Source organism: Homo sapiens, chromosome 7, assembly GCF_000001405.40.
Source record: "Homo sapiens chromosome 7, GRCh38.p14 Primary Assembly".
Classification (NCBI taxonomy): domain Eukaryota; kingdom Metazoa; phylum Chordata; class Mammalia; order Primates; family Hominidae; genus Homo; species Homo sapiens.
In genome coordinates this window covers 29,661,199-29,680,572 of record NC_000007.14, presented here as the reverse complement: position 1 = coordinate 29,680,572, position 19,374 = coordinate 29,661,199, and the positions used below count along the sequence as shown (strand labels likewise).

Sequence of the window (19,374 nt, the reverse complement as noted above, 5' to 3'; positions counted from 1 at the left end):
ATGTACAATTGGGTATACTGGCAAATGTGTTAAAAGAGAGTGTAGGAACTGCTTTATGTAGCAGATTACTTCCTAAGTTTTACCTTATGTAAATATTCTTAAGAACTATTGTTTATTTGAAATGTTAGTCTGTGTTTTAATTTTGCATATACATGACATTTATTTGTTTAGAAATTGGACAAAACATAGGCCTTTTTGTGAACAAAGAGTTCAGAAATACCTTAGGTTCTGATTTTATTCATTTTCTTTTTTTTTATTTTATTTTATTCATGTTCTAAGCTGCTTGTTCACAAATAACTACAAATTTAGCTGTTCTAAGCAACACGTTTATTACCTCACAACTTCTATGGATCAAGAGGCTGGGCACAACTTAGCTGTGTCCTCTGTAAGACTGCAGTCAAAGTGTTGGCCAGGGCTGGGTTGTTATCTAGAGACTCAACTGGGGAAAGGTCTGCCCCCAGACTTCCTTGGGTTATTGGCTGAATTTATTTCCTTGTGTCTGTTAGGTTCAGAGCAGCTTGCTTCTTCAAAGTCAGCAAAGGAAGAGAGTCTATCAAAGGTGAACTGGTGCTATGTTCTTACATAATCGTGTACATGTAATCACATACAACCCATTGCCTTTGCTGTATTTCATTGATTAGAAGCAAGTCATAGGTCCAGTTCACGTGCAAGGGGAGGGAATTATACAAAGGTTTAAACACCAGGAAGTGTAGGAATCAAGAATAGTCCCATCAGTTCTGTCTGCCACATGGATTATAGACTTAGATTGACAGCTGAACATGCAACTTTTTTTTTAAACTCAGTTTTTATTTACTTTTAAAAAGTTGTACTAATGCATATGGTAAATATAGTATTAATAAACATGAATTGAGCCCCTTTTAGGGGCTGGGCATTGTAGATATTCAGGGTTCAAATGTGGGGCTTCTTTATGCACTGCTCAACTCTCCATTGAATTTGAGAGATGGATATGTGTGATCATTATACAGTGCAACAAATTCTGTAATAGAACTATTAACAAAATGCTTCGTGAAGTATCTTTGTCTAGGCTAGTCAAAAAATGCTTCACAGAGGAGGATACATTTGAATTGTAGTTTGAAGGATTTAGAAGTTTTATGGAGAGAGGGCACTGTAGACTAAAGAAAAATCCACAAAAGCTTGGGTTTTGATAGGGCATACTGAAAAGTTAAATATGTCTGGATTGTAGGGTGCATAGAGGAATGATGAGAACCCGAAGCTAGAAAAATAGAAAGTGGAGCCAGTTGAAGGATTTTATAGTGCTGTAGGTTTGTTTTATCCAATGAAGTTTGAAAGCAGGGGGAGTATCATGATTAGGCCATTGGGCACAATTAACATTCGTAGTTTACATGGATGGCAACCTTCTCTAGTGGTGCAGACTTCAGGCTGTATGCAGCAACCCTGATCAGGATTCAGTTCTTAAGGAGGAGAGTGTGATAGCAGGAGGATAAGTTAGGATTCTTTTAGAATATAACTGATAGAAGATGCCTACGTTGAAAAGATGGCATTGGTGAGGGAGAAGAAAAGTTAGATTTGATTGAGATTTCTAAGGTAGAACTGATAGAATTGAGAACCTGGGTACATAGTGATGTCTTTACCAGTATTAAAGATGAAAAGAACAAGTTTTAGGAAATGATAATGAGTTCCTTTTAGGCCTGTTAAATTTGAGTGGCTATCGGATTTCCATCTGCATAGAAGTATCCTTTAAGTGGCTGGAAACATGAGTCTCTAATTCGGGATATTACAAAAAACTGAGAAATCAATTTGCAGGATATAAATGATTCCAGAAAGTGGATAAGATTACTAAGGGATGAATATAGATTGATGAAGGACAAGGATGGAATCCAGAGGAGCAAGTATTTTAAGAGACAGGGAGAGGAAGAGGCCAGCAGTTAGAATTCAACCAGAGGGAAAGGAAGTTTTTTAAAACCTTTTTTTTTAATTATAAAAATAATACCTGTTCACTAGAGAAAAACTAACATACAGAAAAGCAGTGGCTCACGCCTGTAATCCCAGCACTTTGGGAGGCCAAGGCGGGTGGATCATGAGGTCAGGAGATCTAGACCATCCTGGCTAACACGGTGAAACCCCATCTCTACTAAAAATACAAAAAAGTGGCCAGGCGTGGTGATGGGCGCCTGTAGTCCCAGCTACTCCAGAGGCTGAGGCAGGAGAATGGCATGAACCTGGGAGGCGGAGCTTGCAGTAAGCGGAGATCGCGCTACTGCACTCCAGCCTGACCCACAGAGTGAGACTCCATCTCAAAAAAAAAAAATCGCAAATCGCTTATAATCTTACCACTAGAAATAACCAGAAAAAAGTGTTAATGTCTTTTATATATGTATTTGTTTTAGACACAAAATTTGGAACATTCATTTTTATATTGTTTTGATTTTAACCTTTCTGATGTTCTAATACGAAGTTTTAAAGCTACACATTTTCCTCCAAGAATTGCTTTACCTGAATCCCACTGATTTTGAAGGGTTCTTGTTAACATTCAGTGAAAAATGTATTTTAATTTCCCGTATGATTTCTTCTTGATCCATGGGTTACATATTCTTTGATAACGTGCTCTTTCCATTTCCACCAGTTTCTAACATCACATTAAAATTTTTTATAACATGATTTTTAATTATTACCCAGTATTCCAAAAATCACTCAAATATTTAATGAGGACCTGCTCTTCCGAACACTATTCTGGGGATACAGCAGTGAAGAAATAAGATAAAAATCCCTGCTTTTAGGGGCCTTATTATTCTATTTGGGAGAGATAGTAAACAAGTAAAATACATAGTGTGTTAGGGCATTGAGTGTAATGGAAAAAAATGGAGTGCAAAGGCTGATAGAGATTATGGGGTGGAGGCCTATCTATAGTTGCTATTTTAAATCGGGTTTTAAGGATGACCTCAATGACAAGGTGACAATTCAAGCAGAAAGTGAAGGAGCAAGTCATGAGGATCTCTGGGGGAAAAACATATTCAGGCACAGGGAGCAGTAACTGTAAAAGCCCTGAGGCATGAGTGTACCTGATATGTAGGTTTACTACAGCTGGAGTGCAGAGGGCTGTAGAAGATGAGAGCGTAGTGGGGTGGCATGAGGTTGGGACAGAATCATAAACTGCCTCATAACCACTGACCTGTGGTTTGCGGCTTTTGTTTTAAAGAGGGATGGAGAGACACTGGAGTATTTTTGTGCAGAGGATAGACATAATCTGACTTGGGTTTTAAAGGATTACTCTGGCTATTGTGTGAGGTGGCAAGAGTCAGCAAGGAGTCAAAAATCCAGATGAAAGATAACAGTGGCTTGGACTGGGTGGCAGTGCTGGAGGTGCTAAGCAGTGGCCAGATTCTGCATATCCAGTGTTTTGAAGATAGAGCCACCTGGATTAGATGTGGAGGTATGAGAGAAAATGAAGAGTCAAGGATTTATTTGGTTGTTCCTTATAGCTGAACATTTAGTTTGGTACAGTTATAATAAAATACTGTTGCCGTGAACACCTTGGTAAGCAAATTTTTACAGTTTTTTTTTTTTTTTTTTTTTTTGCATGGAGTCTCGCTCTGTCGCCCAGGCTACAGTGCAGTAGTGCAATCTTGACTCACTGCAACCTCTGCCTCCCAGGTTCAAGCGATTCTTGTGCCTCAGCCTCCCAAGTAGCTGTGATTACAGGTGTGCACCACCATGCCTGGCTAATTTTTGTATTTTTAGTAGAGACTGGGTTTCGCCATGTTGGCCAGGCTAGTCTCAAACTCTTGGCCTCAAGTGATTCGCCCACCTCAGCCTCCCAAAGTGCTGGGATTACAGGCGTGAGTGCCCGGCCAGTTTTTAGAAATTTATCAGCAACATGGGATTGCCAGAAACAAAGATGTGCTTTTCTTCAAGGCATTTGATCTTTATTGCCAAATTGCTCATTAGAAATGGAAACAGCTTCTAGCAAGGTATAATCTTTAGGACTATGTAAAATTTTTTAACCAATAAAAGCTTGTGAGGTTTTTGATATTTATAAGTGCAGATTGGTAGATATATTTCGAGTAATATCACCTGTCAGAGTCATTATTTCATTCAGGGCTCTTTTTTTTAGCAACAAAAAGATTTAGTGTGTCAGAAAATTATAGGTATATTCAGTCATTTGAATTTCATAAGTTCTGACCATGTGGAATATCCTAATTTTTGCTTGAATTGTGATTAGTGTGTAATAGTTCTTTAATTTACCTATTTATATATGAGCTGAGGAAAAAAAAAGAACAAAGAAGCCATATATACATAATGGGTTATTTATTATGTGTAATATGTTTCAGAGAGCCAGTGCTCAGTTGAACAATAAATTTTTCTATTTTTGTTGGTTTTTAATTTTTTTCTACTGTTGCCTCTATTCTGTTCTTTCTCATTTTGTAAAGTTAATTTTGTTCTTTCTCCTAGCTTTTAGTTCTTTTATTTTTTATTTATCATTTTTTAATGATAAAAGCGTTTAAGGCTGTGTTTACTTCTCGTTACATGTAGTCACTTCCCATAGCTTTGGATACTTACCATTTTCATTGTCATTGAGTACACATTTTTTATCTTTTAAAAGTCAGTTCTATCGAGGAGTAATCATGTTAACTGCATTTTGATATTTTCTTTTACTTGAAAGTTATTTTAAAGTGTGGCTTTATTGTGGTTATCCTTACTACTACCCTATCGTTACTTCTAGTGTTAATTTAGAAATATTGCACCGTGGCTCGGCACTGTGGCTCACGCCCGTAATCCCAGCACTTTGCGAGGCCGAGGTGGGTGGATCATCTGAGGTCAGGAGTTCGAGGCCAGCCTGGCCAACATGGTGAAACCCCATCTCTACTAAAAATACAAAAATCAGCCAGGCATGGTGGCAGGTGCCTGTAATCCCAGCTTATTAGGGGGTACTGAGACGGGAGAATTGCTTGAACCCGGGAGGCGGAGGTTGCAGTGAGCCGAGATCGCACCACTGTACTCCAGCCTGGGTGACAGAGCAAGACCCCGTCTCAAAAAATATAAAAGTATTGCACCATGGTCAGAGAATCTAAAGTCTTTCAGTTGTAAAGGATAGAAGCATAACTCAAAATAGCATTAGGTGGAAACACTATATATTGTTTCAAATTATTGAAAAGGATCCTAGGGTAACTTAGAGAATTGAAGGAACAAATGCAGGAACCAAGGCCCCTGGAGCTGAAATTTATACAGGGAGAGAGGGAGAGAGGGAGAGAGAGAGAGAGAGAGAGAAAGAGTGAGAGAGAGTGTGTGTGTGTCTTTGTGTCTGTGTGTGTCTGGGATTACAGGTGTCAGCCACTGCCCCCAGGCCCCAGTATGGGCCTTCTTTAAGCTGGGGCCTTGAGACTCTCTGTACTTCCAACTGCATGCTTTTAAAGATGATTATTATCAGAATTATTGCTGTGTTTAAATTATGTATAATTACAGGCCTGAAAGGAGTACCTTTCTCTGCCTCCAGCAGAAAGGACTCAGATTAGCTCAGTTTGAGTTCTGCGTCTGTCCATAAATTAACGAAAGCAGAGATGGGATGCACTTTATGTCCAGGCTGTATTCTGTTATTGTGGGGAAGAGTTTAAGTCTTCAAGTCATGTTTCTTGGGCTGACCTTAAGCAAGTTTCTTAGTTCCTCTGTACCCCCATTTTCTCGTCTCTAGAATCAGGCCAGGTGCATTGGCTTGCACCTGTAACCCCAGCACTCTGGGAGGCCCAGGGGGGGCGATTGCTTGAGCTCAGGAATTTGAGGTCAGCCTGGGCAACATGGTGAAACCCAGGTTCTAGCAAAAATACGAAAATTAGCCAGGTGTGGTGGTGCATGCCTGTAGTCCCAGCTACTCCAGAGGCTGAAGCAGGAGGATCACTTGAACCCAGGAGGCTGAGGTTGCGGTTAGCCAGGATTGCACCACTGCACTCCAGCCTGGGCGACGGAATGAGACTCTGTCTCAAAACAAAACAAAAACCTGCTTTTGTAGTATTATGAGGGTTAAAGTAGTCCACATACTTCATACCTTTATGCTTTTAACTATTGAAGGAGCCTCTTCAATGAATGAAAAAATTAAAACATCCAAGATTTATGCCCCACTTCCAGTCTCACCCTCCTCAGAATGACCATGTGCTTTACTCTGATACCGTATTCCTTTCTCTTCCCAACTGATCAGACTTTGCAAAAACAATCCAGTTTTCATTATTTTTAGAATGTATCTTTCTTATATTTACAAAATTCTCCCCTGAACATTTGAATTGAGTTTTTCAGCACATTTACTATGCCAAACACATGGTAAAAACTTTGTAAATATTGAATATTTCCCAAAATGTATTTGATAACTACATTATTATGTTTTAAGATGATTATTATCAGAATTATTGCTGTGTTTAAATTATGTATAAAAATGTATTGCTCTAGAAGGAAGTGGTAGGCTATGTTTTTATTTGTATAATGTAAATATAGGTAAATTAATTTTTGAACCAAATAGGCATAATGTAGATTATACAAATGGAGACAGTTATAAAATTGCCTTAGAAGTAAAATTATACTGTGCTTATAGCTCTTTTATAACCATTTGAATGTGTTACAAAGTGTTATCAGTGTGAGTGTGTTTTGTGGGCGGTTGGAGATGGTTGGAAGGATGGTTGATAAGGTAGGTCAGTGTTTTCATTAAGTGTGTGCTGCTGCTTCAGGGCAGAGGCTGAAAAACTTAGTTTTTTTCAGCTACATGATTTACTACATCTCAGGCAACCTGGATGACTTGGCATTTACTAAAGCAATTCACTGCTTTGCTGGTGCTTCAGCACCCTTCAGTCTGACAGCCCTGAAGTCTTGATTTGTAATTCTCCATATTTCCTGTCTATCATAGCACTTCTTCAAAAACAGCATATCTGGTCACCTTGAAATGTCAGTTCCTTAATAACTCCTTTTGTCCACTCTTCCTCCACCTTACCATACACAGAGTTCTTTGGAGGATTGCCATTAGTTTCTTTAAAACAGAATAACTAAAATTAAGAATATTTAATATTATTGGCCACTTTAAGTGTCTTTATAAATATTGAACTAATACAGTTACTTTCATATAGTAATTTATGTGTTAGGAAAGTTACTTCATAAGCACTATCTCTTTTGAGTCTATGTCATAAGAAGTCGGTGGTAAAGTAGACAATTGCTTTAGCTATTATCTGGAGATGAGACTCAGAAGTTAGATCAACCACTTGTAGTATTTTAAGTGTGAGTTATTCTGTATTGTAGTTGTGAAGTGTACAGAATCTAATTAGCTTTTAATAATTCAGAGTTCTTTTCACATTTGGCTGCTTTTCTTTTCCTGTACAATTTTGTGTTTTCTCTTTTGTCTTTTAAAAATTTGTTAGTTTAAAAAAACTGTTTAGTTTTACAACCCTCCCTCATTTGTATAAATCTCCTCTCAGATTATTCATATAATGAGTATTGCCTGAATTTCATTTTCTTGTTAAAGTCTCTTTGGAGACCCTCTGACCTACCCTGTTCTGAAATGATTATCCTATGAGATCCCTCTTTGTTCATCATCATCTTGGAAATTGTATTTGCCTGCCTCTCTCTTATGTTCAGTTTCCTGGTTCCTTGAATTTATGTGTCTTCTTTCTTGATGTTCTCCATTGTTTTTAGTTGATATAATCTCGTAGTTCCTACTGAGAAAGAATATGTGTAAGGTAAAATTTTTTTGAGGCTTCCATTCCTGAAAATATTTTATTTCTGCCCTCATTTTTGATTAGTACTTTGACTTGATATAGAATTCTAGGTTGAAGTTATTTTCCCTGAGAATTTAAAATGTGTTGCCTTGTTGCCTTCTGGCTTCTAGTGTTGCTGTTGAGCACATAGATGTCATTATGGTTTTTGATCCTTTGTATGAAAATTTCATTATTACATGCCTTGGGAGGGAACTGTTTTCATTCATTGTGCACCATATTTGGTAGGCTCTTTGAGTCAGCTGCTTTCTGTGATTTTTTTTCTGCCATTTTTTTCTTTGATGATTTAGATGTTGTACACCTAGAGTAATCCTTTGCTTTTTCTTTTTTCTCTTCAATTTTTTTATGTCTTTGGTTTTTGTTCTTTTTTTCTTTTGAGGGATTTATTTATTTATTTAAAGACAAGGTCTCGAGGCTCTGTCACCTAGGTTGGAGTGTAGTCGTGTGATCCTAGCTTACTGCAGCCTTGAACTCCTGGGCTCAAGTGATCCTCCTGTCTCAGCCTCTTGAGTAGTTGGGATTACAGGTGTATGCCACCATGCCCAGATAGGGACTTTTAAAAATGTGATCTTATAACTCTTTTGTCAGTTTTTATTTGTTTCTGTAATTTTAATTTTTAACTTAATTTTTAATGTTTTTTAAAATTTCTGAGGTCTTTAAAAAATAATGTTTTTTTCATATATTCCATTTTTGTTTTGTGGGTACAATATCTTTTTCTAAGAATATTACTGATACGTATTTACATGTGCATCTGTTTGTGTATAAGTGTATATATGTATGTGTATGTATATATATGTATGTGTATGCTTTGTTCCCTTTCCTGATGACTCGGTTTCTTCCCACTTGCTTTTTCTGTTTGTTTGGCTTCATTCTTTTGTTAGATATTTTCTTTAAATGTTTGGTGATCTTTGGCTAACTCCTGATACTTTTAAAGTGGGGGGCGCTAAAAAGCAAATTGGAAGCTCTCTGTGCATGTAGTGTCCTCTGTCTGGGCCATTTTCTTAGGAATATTACTGTCTTTTCTCTTGGGCTGGTCATATTTTCCAGAAATGGCTTTTCTTGCCTGGAATACACAGTCGTTTATGCTAGTGATCTAGGAGCAGAGTGAGAAGAAGATTGAGAGTCTTAATACTCAAAGTGATACTTTCATTTAATCTCCGTATTTAGTATCAATACAGGACCTCTGCCTTCAGCTATTCCTGTTGTCTGCAAGTCTAGAAACTTTTCCCTCTCCTAATAACAAACTTGTAGTAGAGTGCCAGGGTTGGGGTTGCTTAGCTGCTGCAAGTCAGGGAGGACAACTAGGAGATCTCACAGCTTCTTACGCAGACTGGCGATGAATCTTTCTCTTTTAGGCCTGCCTTCACCCCTGCTTCCAGGGATATCTTGTGCTTGCCAATTCTTGTGCCTGCTGTAAATCAGTTTGCTTCTCTGCTTTCCTAGTTCTGCAGTGAAAATTATTACTCATTAATTTTCTTTCCAGAGTCTAAAGGTACTGCTTTTTATTTCATCTTCTTGATTTTTTTATAGGCGTATTCCCTTTAAAAATTACATTTTTATCATTTTAGTAGGATGTTTGGACGGAGCGGAAACTAATGAATGTGTACAACTAGTTATCTTTACTTGGAAGTTTTCTTTTTTTAATTGCAGAAGAAATAAGAATTCACTCCTATAAAAATTTAGATGATGCAGCTGGGCGTGGTGGCTCACGCCTGTAATCCCAGCACTTTGGAAGGCTGAGGCGGGTGGATCACCTCAGCTCGGGAGTTTGAGACCAGCCGGACTAACATGGTGAAACCCTGTCTCTACAAAAATTAGCCGGGCGTAGTGATGCATGCCTGTAATTTCCAGCGACTCGGGAGGCTGAGGCAGGAGAATTGCTTGAACCCAGGAGGCATAGGTTGCAGTGAGCTGAAATCACACCATGGCACTCCAGCCTGGGCAACAAGAGCGAAACTATGTCTCAAAAAAAAAAAAAAAAATTCAGATGATGCAAAAAAAGTGAAAGTCACTTTCAGTCCTCTGGTATGAACATGTTCAACCAGTCCTCTAAGGAATCTAATGGTTTTCAAGCTTTTTTTTTCTTTTTTTTTTTTTTTTTTGAGACGGAGTCTCACTCTGTTGCCCAGGCTAGAGTGCAGTGGCACCATCTCGGCTTACTGCAACCTGTCTCCTGGGTTCAAGCAATTCTCCTGTCTCAGCCCCCCAAGTGGCTGAGCTTACAGGTGTGTACCACCGTGCTTGGCTAATTTTTGTATTTTTAGTAGAGACGGGGTTTTACCATGTTGGCCAGGCTGGTCTCGAACTCCTGACCTCAGGTGATCTGCCTGCCTCGGCCTCCCAAAGTGCTGGAATAAAGGAACTGTGTATTAACATGTTAACAATTCATAACTGCACTTTTTATGACATTTTGAAAATCTATGTATAGTTACAGAACAATGGGTTTTGTTAAACTGTATCACATTTATACTTGCAGAAATTATTTCATCATTATTAGTAGGAATTTTATTGGTTCAATAAAATTGGCAAAACTGAAAAAAATAGAAATTTATATCTTACAATTCTGGAGTCTAAGAATTCTGGAGTCCAAGAAAGTCCAAGATCAAGGCGCTAGCAGATTTAGCGTCTGGTGAAGACTGCTCTCCACTTCCAAGATGGTGCCTTGATGTTGCATCTTCTGAAGGAGAGGAACACTGTGTCCTCACATGGGAGATAGTAGGAGAATAAGAGAGCTTTAGTCTCACTCATGAGGGGGGAGTCCTCATGGCCTACTCACCTCTTGCAGGTCCCATCTCTTAATACTATCACATTGGCCATTAAGTTTCAACACCTGAATTTTGGAGGGGACACATTCAAATCATAGCAGTGCCCATTGGCATTTCTGGATTGCCAGCCTCTTTAACTCCAAGTCTGAGAAAATGAGGCACAAAGAGAGCCCATGGAACTCATAACCATGTTATTCTTTGGGTCTCAAGTCTGTCTTCTCTCTACTTTTCAGAGTCTTCTTATGTTTGATTTGTGTATAACTCAAAGGGTTTTCAGTTGTACTTCAAGGGAGTAATCAGGAAAAGTACATCCACTCCGTCTTCCCAATAGCAAACATTTGTATTACTTAAATATTTATATATCGTATAGGCAAGAGAGAAGGCAGTGCTGTGAGGGAAATGTATGGCACTAAAATGAATATGTTAGAAAAGAGGAAAAAAATCAATAATCTAAGCATCCAGTTAGGAACCTAGGAAAAAAAGAGCAAAATAAACTGAAAGCCAGTAGAATCAAGGAAATAATAAAGAGTAGAAATCAATGAAATTGAAAATAGAAAAATAATAGAGAAAGCTGTATTAGTCTTTTTTACATTGCTATAAAGAAATACCCGAGGACTGGGTAGTTTAGAAAGAAAAGAGGTTTATTTTTGCTCATGGTTCTGCAAACCGTACAAGAAGCATGCATGGTACCAGCATCTGCTTCTGGTGAAGACCTTAAGAAGCTTATAATCACGGTGGAAGGCGAAGGGGGAGCAAACAAGAGAGAGAAAGGTTCCAGTGGGGAGGGGGCAGGTCAAGAGAGAGGGAGCAACAGAGAGACGAGTGAGGTCCCAGATTCTCTTAACAATCAGATCTCACATAAACTTACAGAGGGAGAACTCCCTTATTACTGTGGGGCGGGAACCACGTCATTCATGAGGGTTCCACCCCCATGACCCAAACACCTCCCACTAGATCCCAGCTGCAACACTAGAGATCACTTTTCAACATGAGATTTGGAGGGAACAAATATCTAACTATATGAAAAGCCAAGGGAAAAAAGGAGCTGGTTCTTCAAAAAGGTCAATAAAGTTGACAAACCTCTAGCAAGACTGACAAAGAAAGAGAAGACACAAATTATCCATATCCATGTCAATGAAACAGGGGCTATCACTGCAGACTCTGCATACATCAAAAAGATAATAAGGGAATACTGTAAACAACTGTACACACTTAAATTTGTCAATTTAGATGGAATATACCAATTCCTTGAAAAACTCAAACTATTGCCATAAATAAAATCAATATAAAATAGATCATTTAAATATTTCTATAACTATTGAGAACTTGAATTCAAATGTAGAAATTCTTCAAAAAGAAATCTCTAGACCCAGGTATTTTCACTAGAGACTTCTGCTAGAGGTTTAAGAAATCATTAACATCAATTCTATACAATCTCTTCTGGAAAAGAGAAGAGGAAACACTTCCCAATTCTTTACCTCAAACTAGTATTACCTTGATACTAAAACCAACAAAGTACCAACAGTATCAAAACAAAGTAAACTTCAGACTGATATCCCTTGCGAATATAAACACAAAATTCCCAAACAAAATTGCAAAAATAGATTTCAATAATATATTAATTATATACCATGACCAAATGAGGTTTTCTTCCAGGGATGCAAGGCTGTTTCAATATTCAAATACATCATATTACATGTTAAGAGGCAAAATAAGAAAAATCACATAATCATATAAATTGGTACAGAAAAAAAAATTTGAAAGAATTCAATACCCATTCATGGTAAGAACTCTCAGAAAAAAAAAGAAATAAAAGGGAGATTTTCTCAACTGTGTAAAAATCACGTGCAAAGAACTTGTGGCTAACATTATGCTTAATGATTAAATACTGATGCTTTCTCCTAAGGCTGACAACAAGGCATGTATGTTCACATTCACCACTTATTAAACACAGTGCTAAAAGTTTTAGTGCAAAAGGCAAATAATGGAAATAAAAAGCATACAGATTAAAAAGTAAGAAATAAAACTGTCCCTATTTGCCCATGCCAGAACTATGTAAAAAATCCCAGCAAATCTAAAACAACAACAAAAAGATAACCACAACAAAACTCCTAGAACAAGTGAGTTCAGCAAAGTTGCGTGATAAAAGATAAACATAAAAAAATGTATTTTATGTGCTAATGATGGACACCAAAATTAAAATTATAATTCTATGACATGAAAAACTTAAATGTATATCTAGCAAAATACGTATAAGACTTAGATGATCAAAACTATACAATGCTGAGGAAAGGAATCAAAGGTGATCTAAATAAATGAAGAGATATACCATGTTCATAAACTGGAAGATTCAATAAAGATGTCAGTTCTTCCAAAATTGATTTACAAATTTAATGCAATTCTTATCAAAGTCCCAACAAGATTTTTGTAGATATAGCATGTTGTAAAATATATATGAAAAGGCAAAAAAGAAAAAAAGAACCTAGCCAAACCAATTTTGGAAAAGAATAAAGTAGGAGGAATCAGGCTACTTGCTTCTAAGACTTACTGCATAGATGCGTTAATTAAGACTACTGGCCAGACACAGTGGCTCACACCTGTAATCCCAGCGCTTTGGGAGGCTGATGTGGGCGGATCACTTGAGGGCAGGTGTTCAAGACCACATTGGCCAACATGGTGAAACCCAATTTCTACTAAAAATAAAAAAGTAGCTGGGCGTGGTGGCATGTGCCTGTAATCCCAGCTACTCAGGTGGCTGAGGCATGAGAATTGTTTGAACCCAGCAGACAGAGGCTGCAGTGTGCTGCGATCATGCCACTGCACTCCAACCTGGGCAACAGAGTGAGACTCAGTCTAAACAACAACAACAACAACAAAAACCTATATGGTATTGGCAGAGGGGTAGATGCATAAATCAGTGGAAGAGAACAGAGAACCCAGAAATAGACCCATACAAAATATGTCCAATTGACATATTTGGCAGAGGCACAAAAGCAATTCAGTGAAGGAAAGAAAGGAAAGATCCACTTTCAACAAATGGTGCTGGAGTAATGAACATCCATATGCAAACAAACAAACAAACAAACAGAATCTTGACCTAAATTTCATTCAAAATGGATCAGTTAGATATAAAATGCAAAACTCTTAACCTTTACAAAAAATACAGGAGAAAATCTTTATCTCTAGGGCTAGGCAAAGAATCCTTAGACTTGACACCAAAAGCACAATCAATAGGAGAAAAATGGACATACTGGACTTCATAAAAATTTTAAAATTTTTCTATGCAAAAGACCCTGTTTAAGAGAATGAAAAGGCAAGCTACAGAGTGGGAAAATATATTTGCAAGCCATATATATGAAAAGTAATTAGCATCTATAATATATAAAGAACACCCTAAGATCCAAAATTCATAAAACAAACAATTCAAATAGAAATGGAGCAAAATACATAAAGACACGTTTCACATACGGACGGCAAATAAGCACAAAAAGATGTACATCATCATTAGCCAACAGGGAAATGTAAATTAAAACCATAATGATATATCACTACATATGTGTAAGAATGAGTAACATAAAAAATAGTGACCATACCAAATGCAGGTGAGGATACAGATAAACCTAATTTTGGTTGTGCTTAGGTTGTATCCATTGACTACTGAGTATGTAGCACAAGGAAATTTGCATAGTTTCATTCATTCAACAAATATGATATTGAATCAGCTCCATATTCCAGGAAGTAGGCACCTGGGATACAGCTAGGAAATACATAATGGGCACGGGAAAACAGTAGAAAACAAGGTCATTCGCTGAGAGTGAAAGCGGGAGAGGAGGTTTGGGATAACTGGAGAGAGAAGATATGAAACAGGAGTCAAGGGGTTAGCAAAAGTAAGGCTCAAGAACTAAATCAGGATCTGTGGCCTATTTTTGTACCAGTAATGTGAAAAGGACAGTGTTTTCCCCCAACTTTTCCCCAGCAGTTTAAGCTAAGAGAGTTTAAGACTTATAGGGGAGATAAGGAAGAGCGGGGTGGGTGGGTTTCATGCCTTTCTCTAAGTGGCTGCTGTTCTCCCAGGCTTTACCATGGAGGATGCTTTCTGAGCACTCTTGCTAATCTTTTGTCAGCACCTTATGAGCTCTGTGTAAAAATGTCTGTAAGCAATTGCAAATTCCCTTGCTAACCCACACTAGGCATTTACCGACTGACTGGTGAACAATTTGAGCTGAGTTCTTTACCATTGTGTCTAGTGGCATGACCCGTATAATTAAATGCTTGTTTCTGTTCTCCTTGCACATGGTTTTTCTTTTTAATTTATTTTGGGTTATTTGATTGTCCTGTGACCTCAGCTCCCTGACCACTTCAGGAAAAGTTGTCAATTTGAAGACTGTCTGGCTTTTGTTGTTGTTGCTGCTGACATTGCTGGAAGGCCATGAGCAATGTTCTTTTTGGCTTTCTACATCCAAGGGAAAGCTGACCCAACATGATTAAATCCAACTCTCCATTTTCTCCGTGTTTATACTTGGGAATCTGATTATAGCTGGAGAAACACAATTCTGTTGGCTGGTTTTGTTCTCAGTTCAAGACCATCAACCTCAAATGAAGCCCTTGGTGCTGCCCAAGAAACTCACATTATATCCCTAGTCTATTCATTCTCCTAGACAAGAGGTCAGTAAGCTTTTCCTATAGAGAGCCAGACGATAAGTATTTTAGGCTTTGTGAGATAGTCTCTGTCTCATACTCTTTAATGTGTTTACATTTACCCCCAGGTTTGTATATGCATGTTTGGTTTGTTTATCTATTCATTCATGCATTTGTTTGGTATTTATCCTTTTTGCTGTTCTCTGAGTTTCTTGGATCTGTGGCTTGGTATCTGTCACTAATTTTGGAAAATTCTCAGTCATTTATTTTTCAAATGTTTATTCTTCCTCATCCTTTCCTCTCCCACTGGGATTCTAATTATGCATATATTAGAATATTTGATATGGTGTCACAGCTCTTAGATGCTCTTATCATTTCCTTCCTCCATTATTTTTCTCTTTGCATTCCTATTGACCTATCTTCATACTCACTGATTATTTCTTCTGCTGTGCTGTGTCTGCTGATGAGCCCATCTAAGGCATTTTTTACTTCTTGTTTTTATTTTCAGCATTTCCCTTCGATTCTTATAGTGTCCAACTCTCTGCTAAAATTACCTATATGATCTTGCGTATCATCTGTCTTTTCCATTTGGGTGTTTAAAATATTAATCATAGTTACTTAAATCTCCTGTCCAGTTGTTCCAGTATCTGTATCTTCTTTGGGTCTGGATGATGATTGCTCTGTCTCTTCGGACTGTGCTTTTTCTTACCTTTAGGTATGCCTCATAATTTTTGCTGAAAGTTAGACATGTTGTAGAAGACAGTAGACATAGAGGTCAGTATTTTTATGCTTGAAAATAAGAACATCTTTCTTACTGTTAGGTCTTTATTGTAGGTATTTGTGTTAATCTAGTTAGGGTGGGCTGGATTTGAAGTTTGTAATTGCTGTAGTTACCAAAGCTGGAGTTTGTTGCCGCTATGGACACTAGCGATTTCAAATTCCTCTAGTGGTACCCTGTTTTGAATTTGGTTTTGGGTTGTCCTTTGTGCTGCTCACTAGAAAGAAAATGCCTTGCAAAACTCACTCAGTCACATTCCACTGTGATTTTTACCAAAGGCTTGTTAATGTAATGGGTGAAGAGTGGCAGGTTTTCTGATGTTCCAATTAAGCCTCAATCTTAGACAGGTACTGTGAATTTGGGACTTGGGGGCTGTACCCTTCATAAGTGTTCCCTTCTCAAGGAATATGATTGTCTTTTAACATTTAGGTTTTTTTTTCTTTTTTCCTGCCTGTTCTCTTTCACCAGCTTCACTGGATACCCACCAGTGTCCTCAGACAATGGGTTTGATACCGTTCTCCCTGCAGATCATGGCTTTCTTTTCCTTAGGTGAGATTTCACAACTTGGGTGTGAGCAGAGTCTGAGCAATGACTGCTTTTCCTGTCCCCTAGCCAGCACCATAGGGAAAGCTTTCTCTAAATGCTTCCCCAATCTTCCCTGACAGAGCCTGCTCGCCTTCACATTTCATGCCAGCTCACACTAAGCCTGTAGCAATTCATTAAAAATTTCTGGTTTAATCTTTGTACCAGCTTATACGGCATTCAAAAGCATCTATCTCAGTCAAGCAGTTCCTATTCCAGAATGCTCAGTTCCTGTTGCTTTCTGCAGGCACCTGTCCTTGAAATTTTGCGTTGGTTGTCCTCTGACCTCAGTTTTCTGAAGGGTTCAAAAAAGGTGTTATCTTGCAGTTTGTCCAGCTATTTTCCTTGTTGTAGGAATGAGAGTGTCATCATTCCAGCTCTCTTCATCACCAAACTGACACCTGAAGCCTCCAGAAGCTAAATATATAAAGAATTAAGAGTTCTTTATATATTAGGTGTATTAGCCCTTTATCTGTGAGGTATATTACAAATATTTTCTCCTGACCGGGCATGGTGGCTCACGCCTATAATCCCAGCACTTTGGGAGGCGGAGGCAGGGGGATCACCGGAGGCCAGGAGTTTGAGACCAGCCTGGCTAACATGGTGAAACCCCGTTTCTACTAAAAATACAAAAATTAGCCAGGCATGGTGGTACACATCTGTAATCCCAGGTATTCGGAGGCTGAGGCTGGAGAATCGCTTGAACCTGGGAGGCGGAGGCTGCAGGGAGCCGAGATCACGCCACTGCACTTCAGCCTGGGCAATGAAGTGAGACTCTGTCTCAAAATAAACAAACAAAAAGAAACCAAACAAATATCTTCTCCCAGTGTATCAACTGTCTTTCGATTTTGTTTATTTATTTTCTTTTTTAAACTCTGCCTGGTTTTCCCTTTCCCATAGAAACCCCAATAAAAGCGATGGCCTAGGCTTTACCCTCAGTCCTGCTTCTGCCTGACCAAACTGTATCTCTCCTGTGGCTCTGTGTGATGTGACTTGTCCTCTTCTCCAAGGAAGTATTAGTCATAAATTCTTCTTTCAGTGGCACTGATCTGTGTCATCACTCAGTCAACCGCATAAATTAAGACCTAGGCACAGAACAACTCTGTTTCTATTTCTATAAAATTCTAGAAAATGCAAACTAAACCATAATGACAGAGAATATTAGTGGTTTCCTAGGGATGGGATGTGGGCAAAGAGAGACGAAGGAAGGAGGGATTACCAAGGAGGACAGGGAAACTTCGGGATGAGGGATATGCTCATTATCTTGACTGGTGATGGTTTTACAGGTGGGCCAAAACTAATCAAACTTTACACTTCATCTATATGACCAGCTATCATATGTCAATTATACCTCAATAAAGCTGTTTAAAAACATTTAGGGTATATCTACTGGAAAGTAAAACTTTTTAATTATAGACTCTATCATCACGTGCATAGAAAAATCCAAAGGATTCTACAAACAAGCTACTAGAACCACTGACTGCATCAAGATGCAGGTACAAAGTTAATATTCAAAATCAACTATATTTCTATACAAGAGCAACAAAAAATGGAAAAATAAAAAAATTTTAAAATAATACCATTTATAATAAAAGAATACTGGGGAAGACCATACATTGAAAAATACAAAACATTGCTGAGACTAATTAAAAATAATCAACAAAATGGAGATCTATACCATGATCATGGATTAGAAAATTCAGTATCATAGAGATGTCAATTCTTCCCAAATGCATGTACAAGTCCAACATAATCCCAACCAAAATCCCAGCAGGTTTTTTTTTGAGAAATTAATAAGCTGACCCTAACATTTAGATAGAAATGCAATTTTAAAAAGGAAAAACAAAGTTGGAGAACTATCTACAGTCAAGATTTATTGTAAAGCTACAGTAATCAAGACTGTGGTACTGGCATAATTATAGATCAAGAGAATAATAGAGTCCAGAAACAGATTCACACATAGTGTGGTCAATCAATTTTCAACGAATGTACCGAGAAAATTAATTCAATGGGGGAAAAGACAGTTACCACAATGGAGCATTTTTTTGGCATTCTGAAAATGTTTTGTAACTCAATTGTGGTGATGGATACATAGCTTCATACATTTGTCAAAATTCAGAGAATGGTACACTCAAAATTGGCACATTTTATTACGTGTAAGTCATACCTCAAAAAAGCTGATTTGGTGACAAAGATTTATATATGTTGTTGATAGAAGAAAAAAATCCAAATGCTGTTTAAACATGGTAATATATTTATTCCCATAAATAATAAGGGAAGAACAAATTAAAACAAAAAAGCATATCACAGCCATCATAAGAGTAAAAATCACAGGGTCTGACAATTCAAAATCTAATAAGGATATGAGAAAATTCTAGACAGCAGTGTGAACTGCCACATTTGCTTCAGACAGCAATTTAGCAATATGTGGTAAAGCTGAAAAAGCACACACTCTATAATAGCAATTCCACTTTTAGGTATATATCCTAGACAAAATATTGCACATATACAGAAGAAAACCATACGAAAGTGTACATTTTAGATTACATTGCTTGTAATTGAAAAATTGGAAATAATGTATTAAGGTGGGGAAATATATAAACTTTAGAATTCATAAAATGGTTAAAATTAAAGAAATATATATATACAGAAAGTTCAAAAATACAATTTTGAAGAAAAAATTCTACAGTGATACATACAGTATGAGATCATTTATGTGGACTTAAAGCACATAATAAAACAATCTGAAAACAGAGATTGGATGGATACACACACCAAATTTTAATAAAGGTATAAGTTGGACTAGAAGCAGAACAAAGGTGATTTTAACTGTATTTCTAATATTTTAATTATTTTAAAATAGCTGATGCAAAAATGACAAAGATTA

General features: G+C 37.6%; 1 long non-coding RNA gene across 1 annotated transcript in view; it reads left to right on the top strand.

The window, feature by feature from the left end:
• MIR550A3HG (MIR550A3 host gene) overlaps positions 1-19,374 on the top strand; it is a 39,217-nt gene that overhangs the window by 4,566 nt on the left and 15,277 nt on the right. The gene's annotated exons all lie outside the window — the stretch shown is intronic.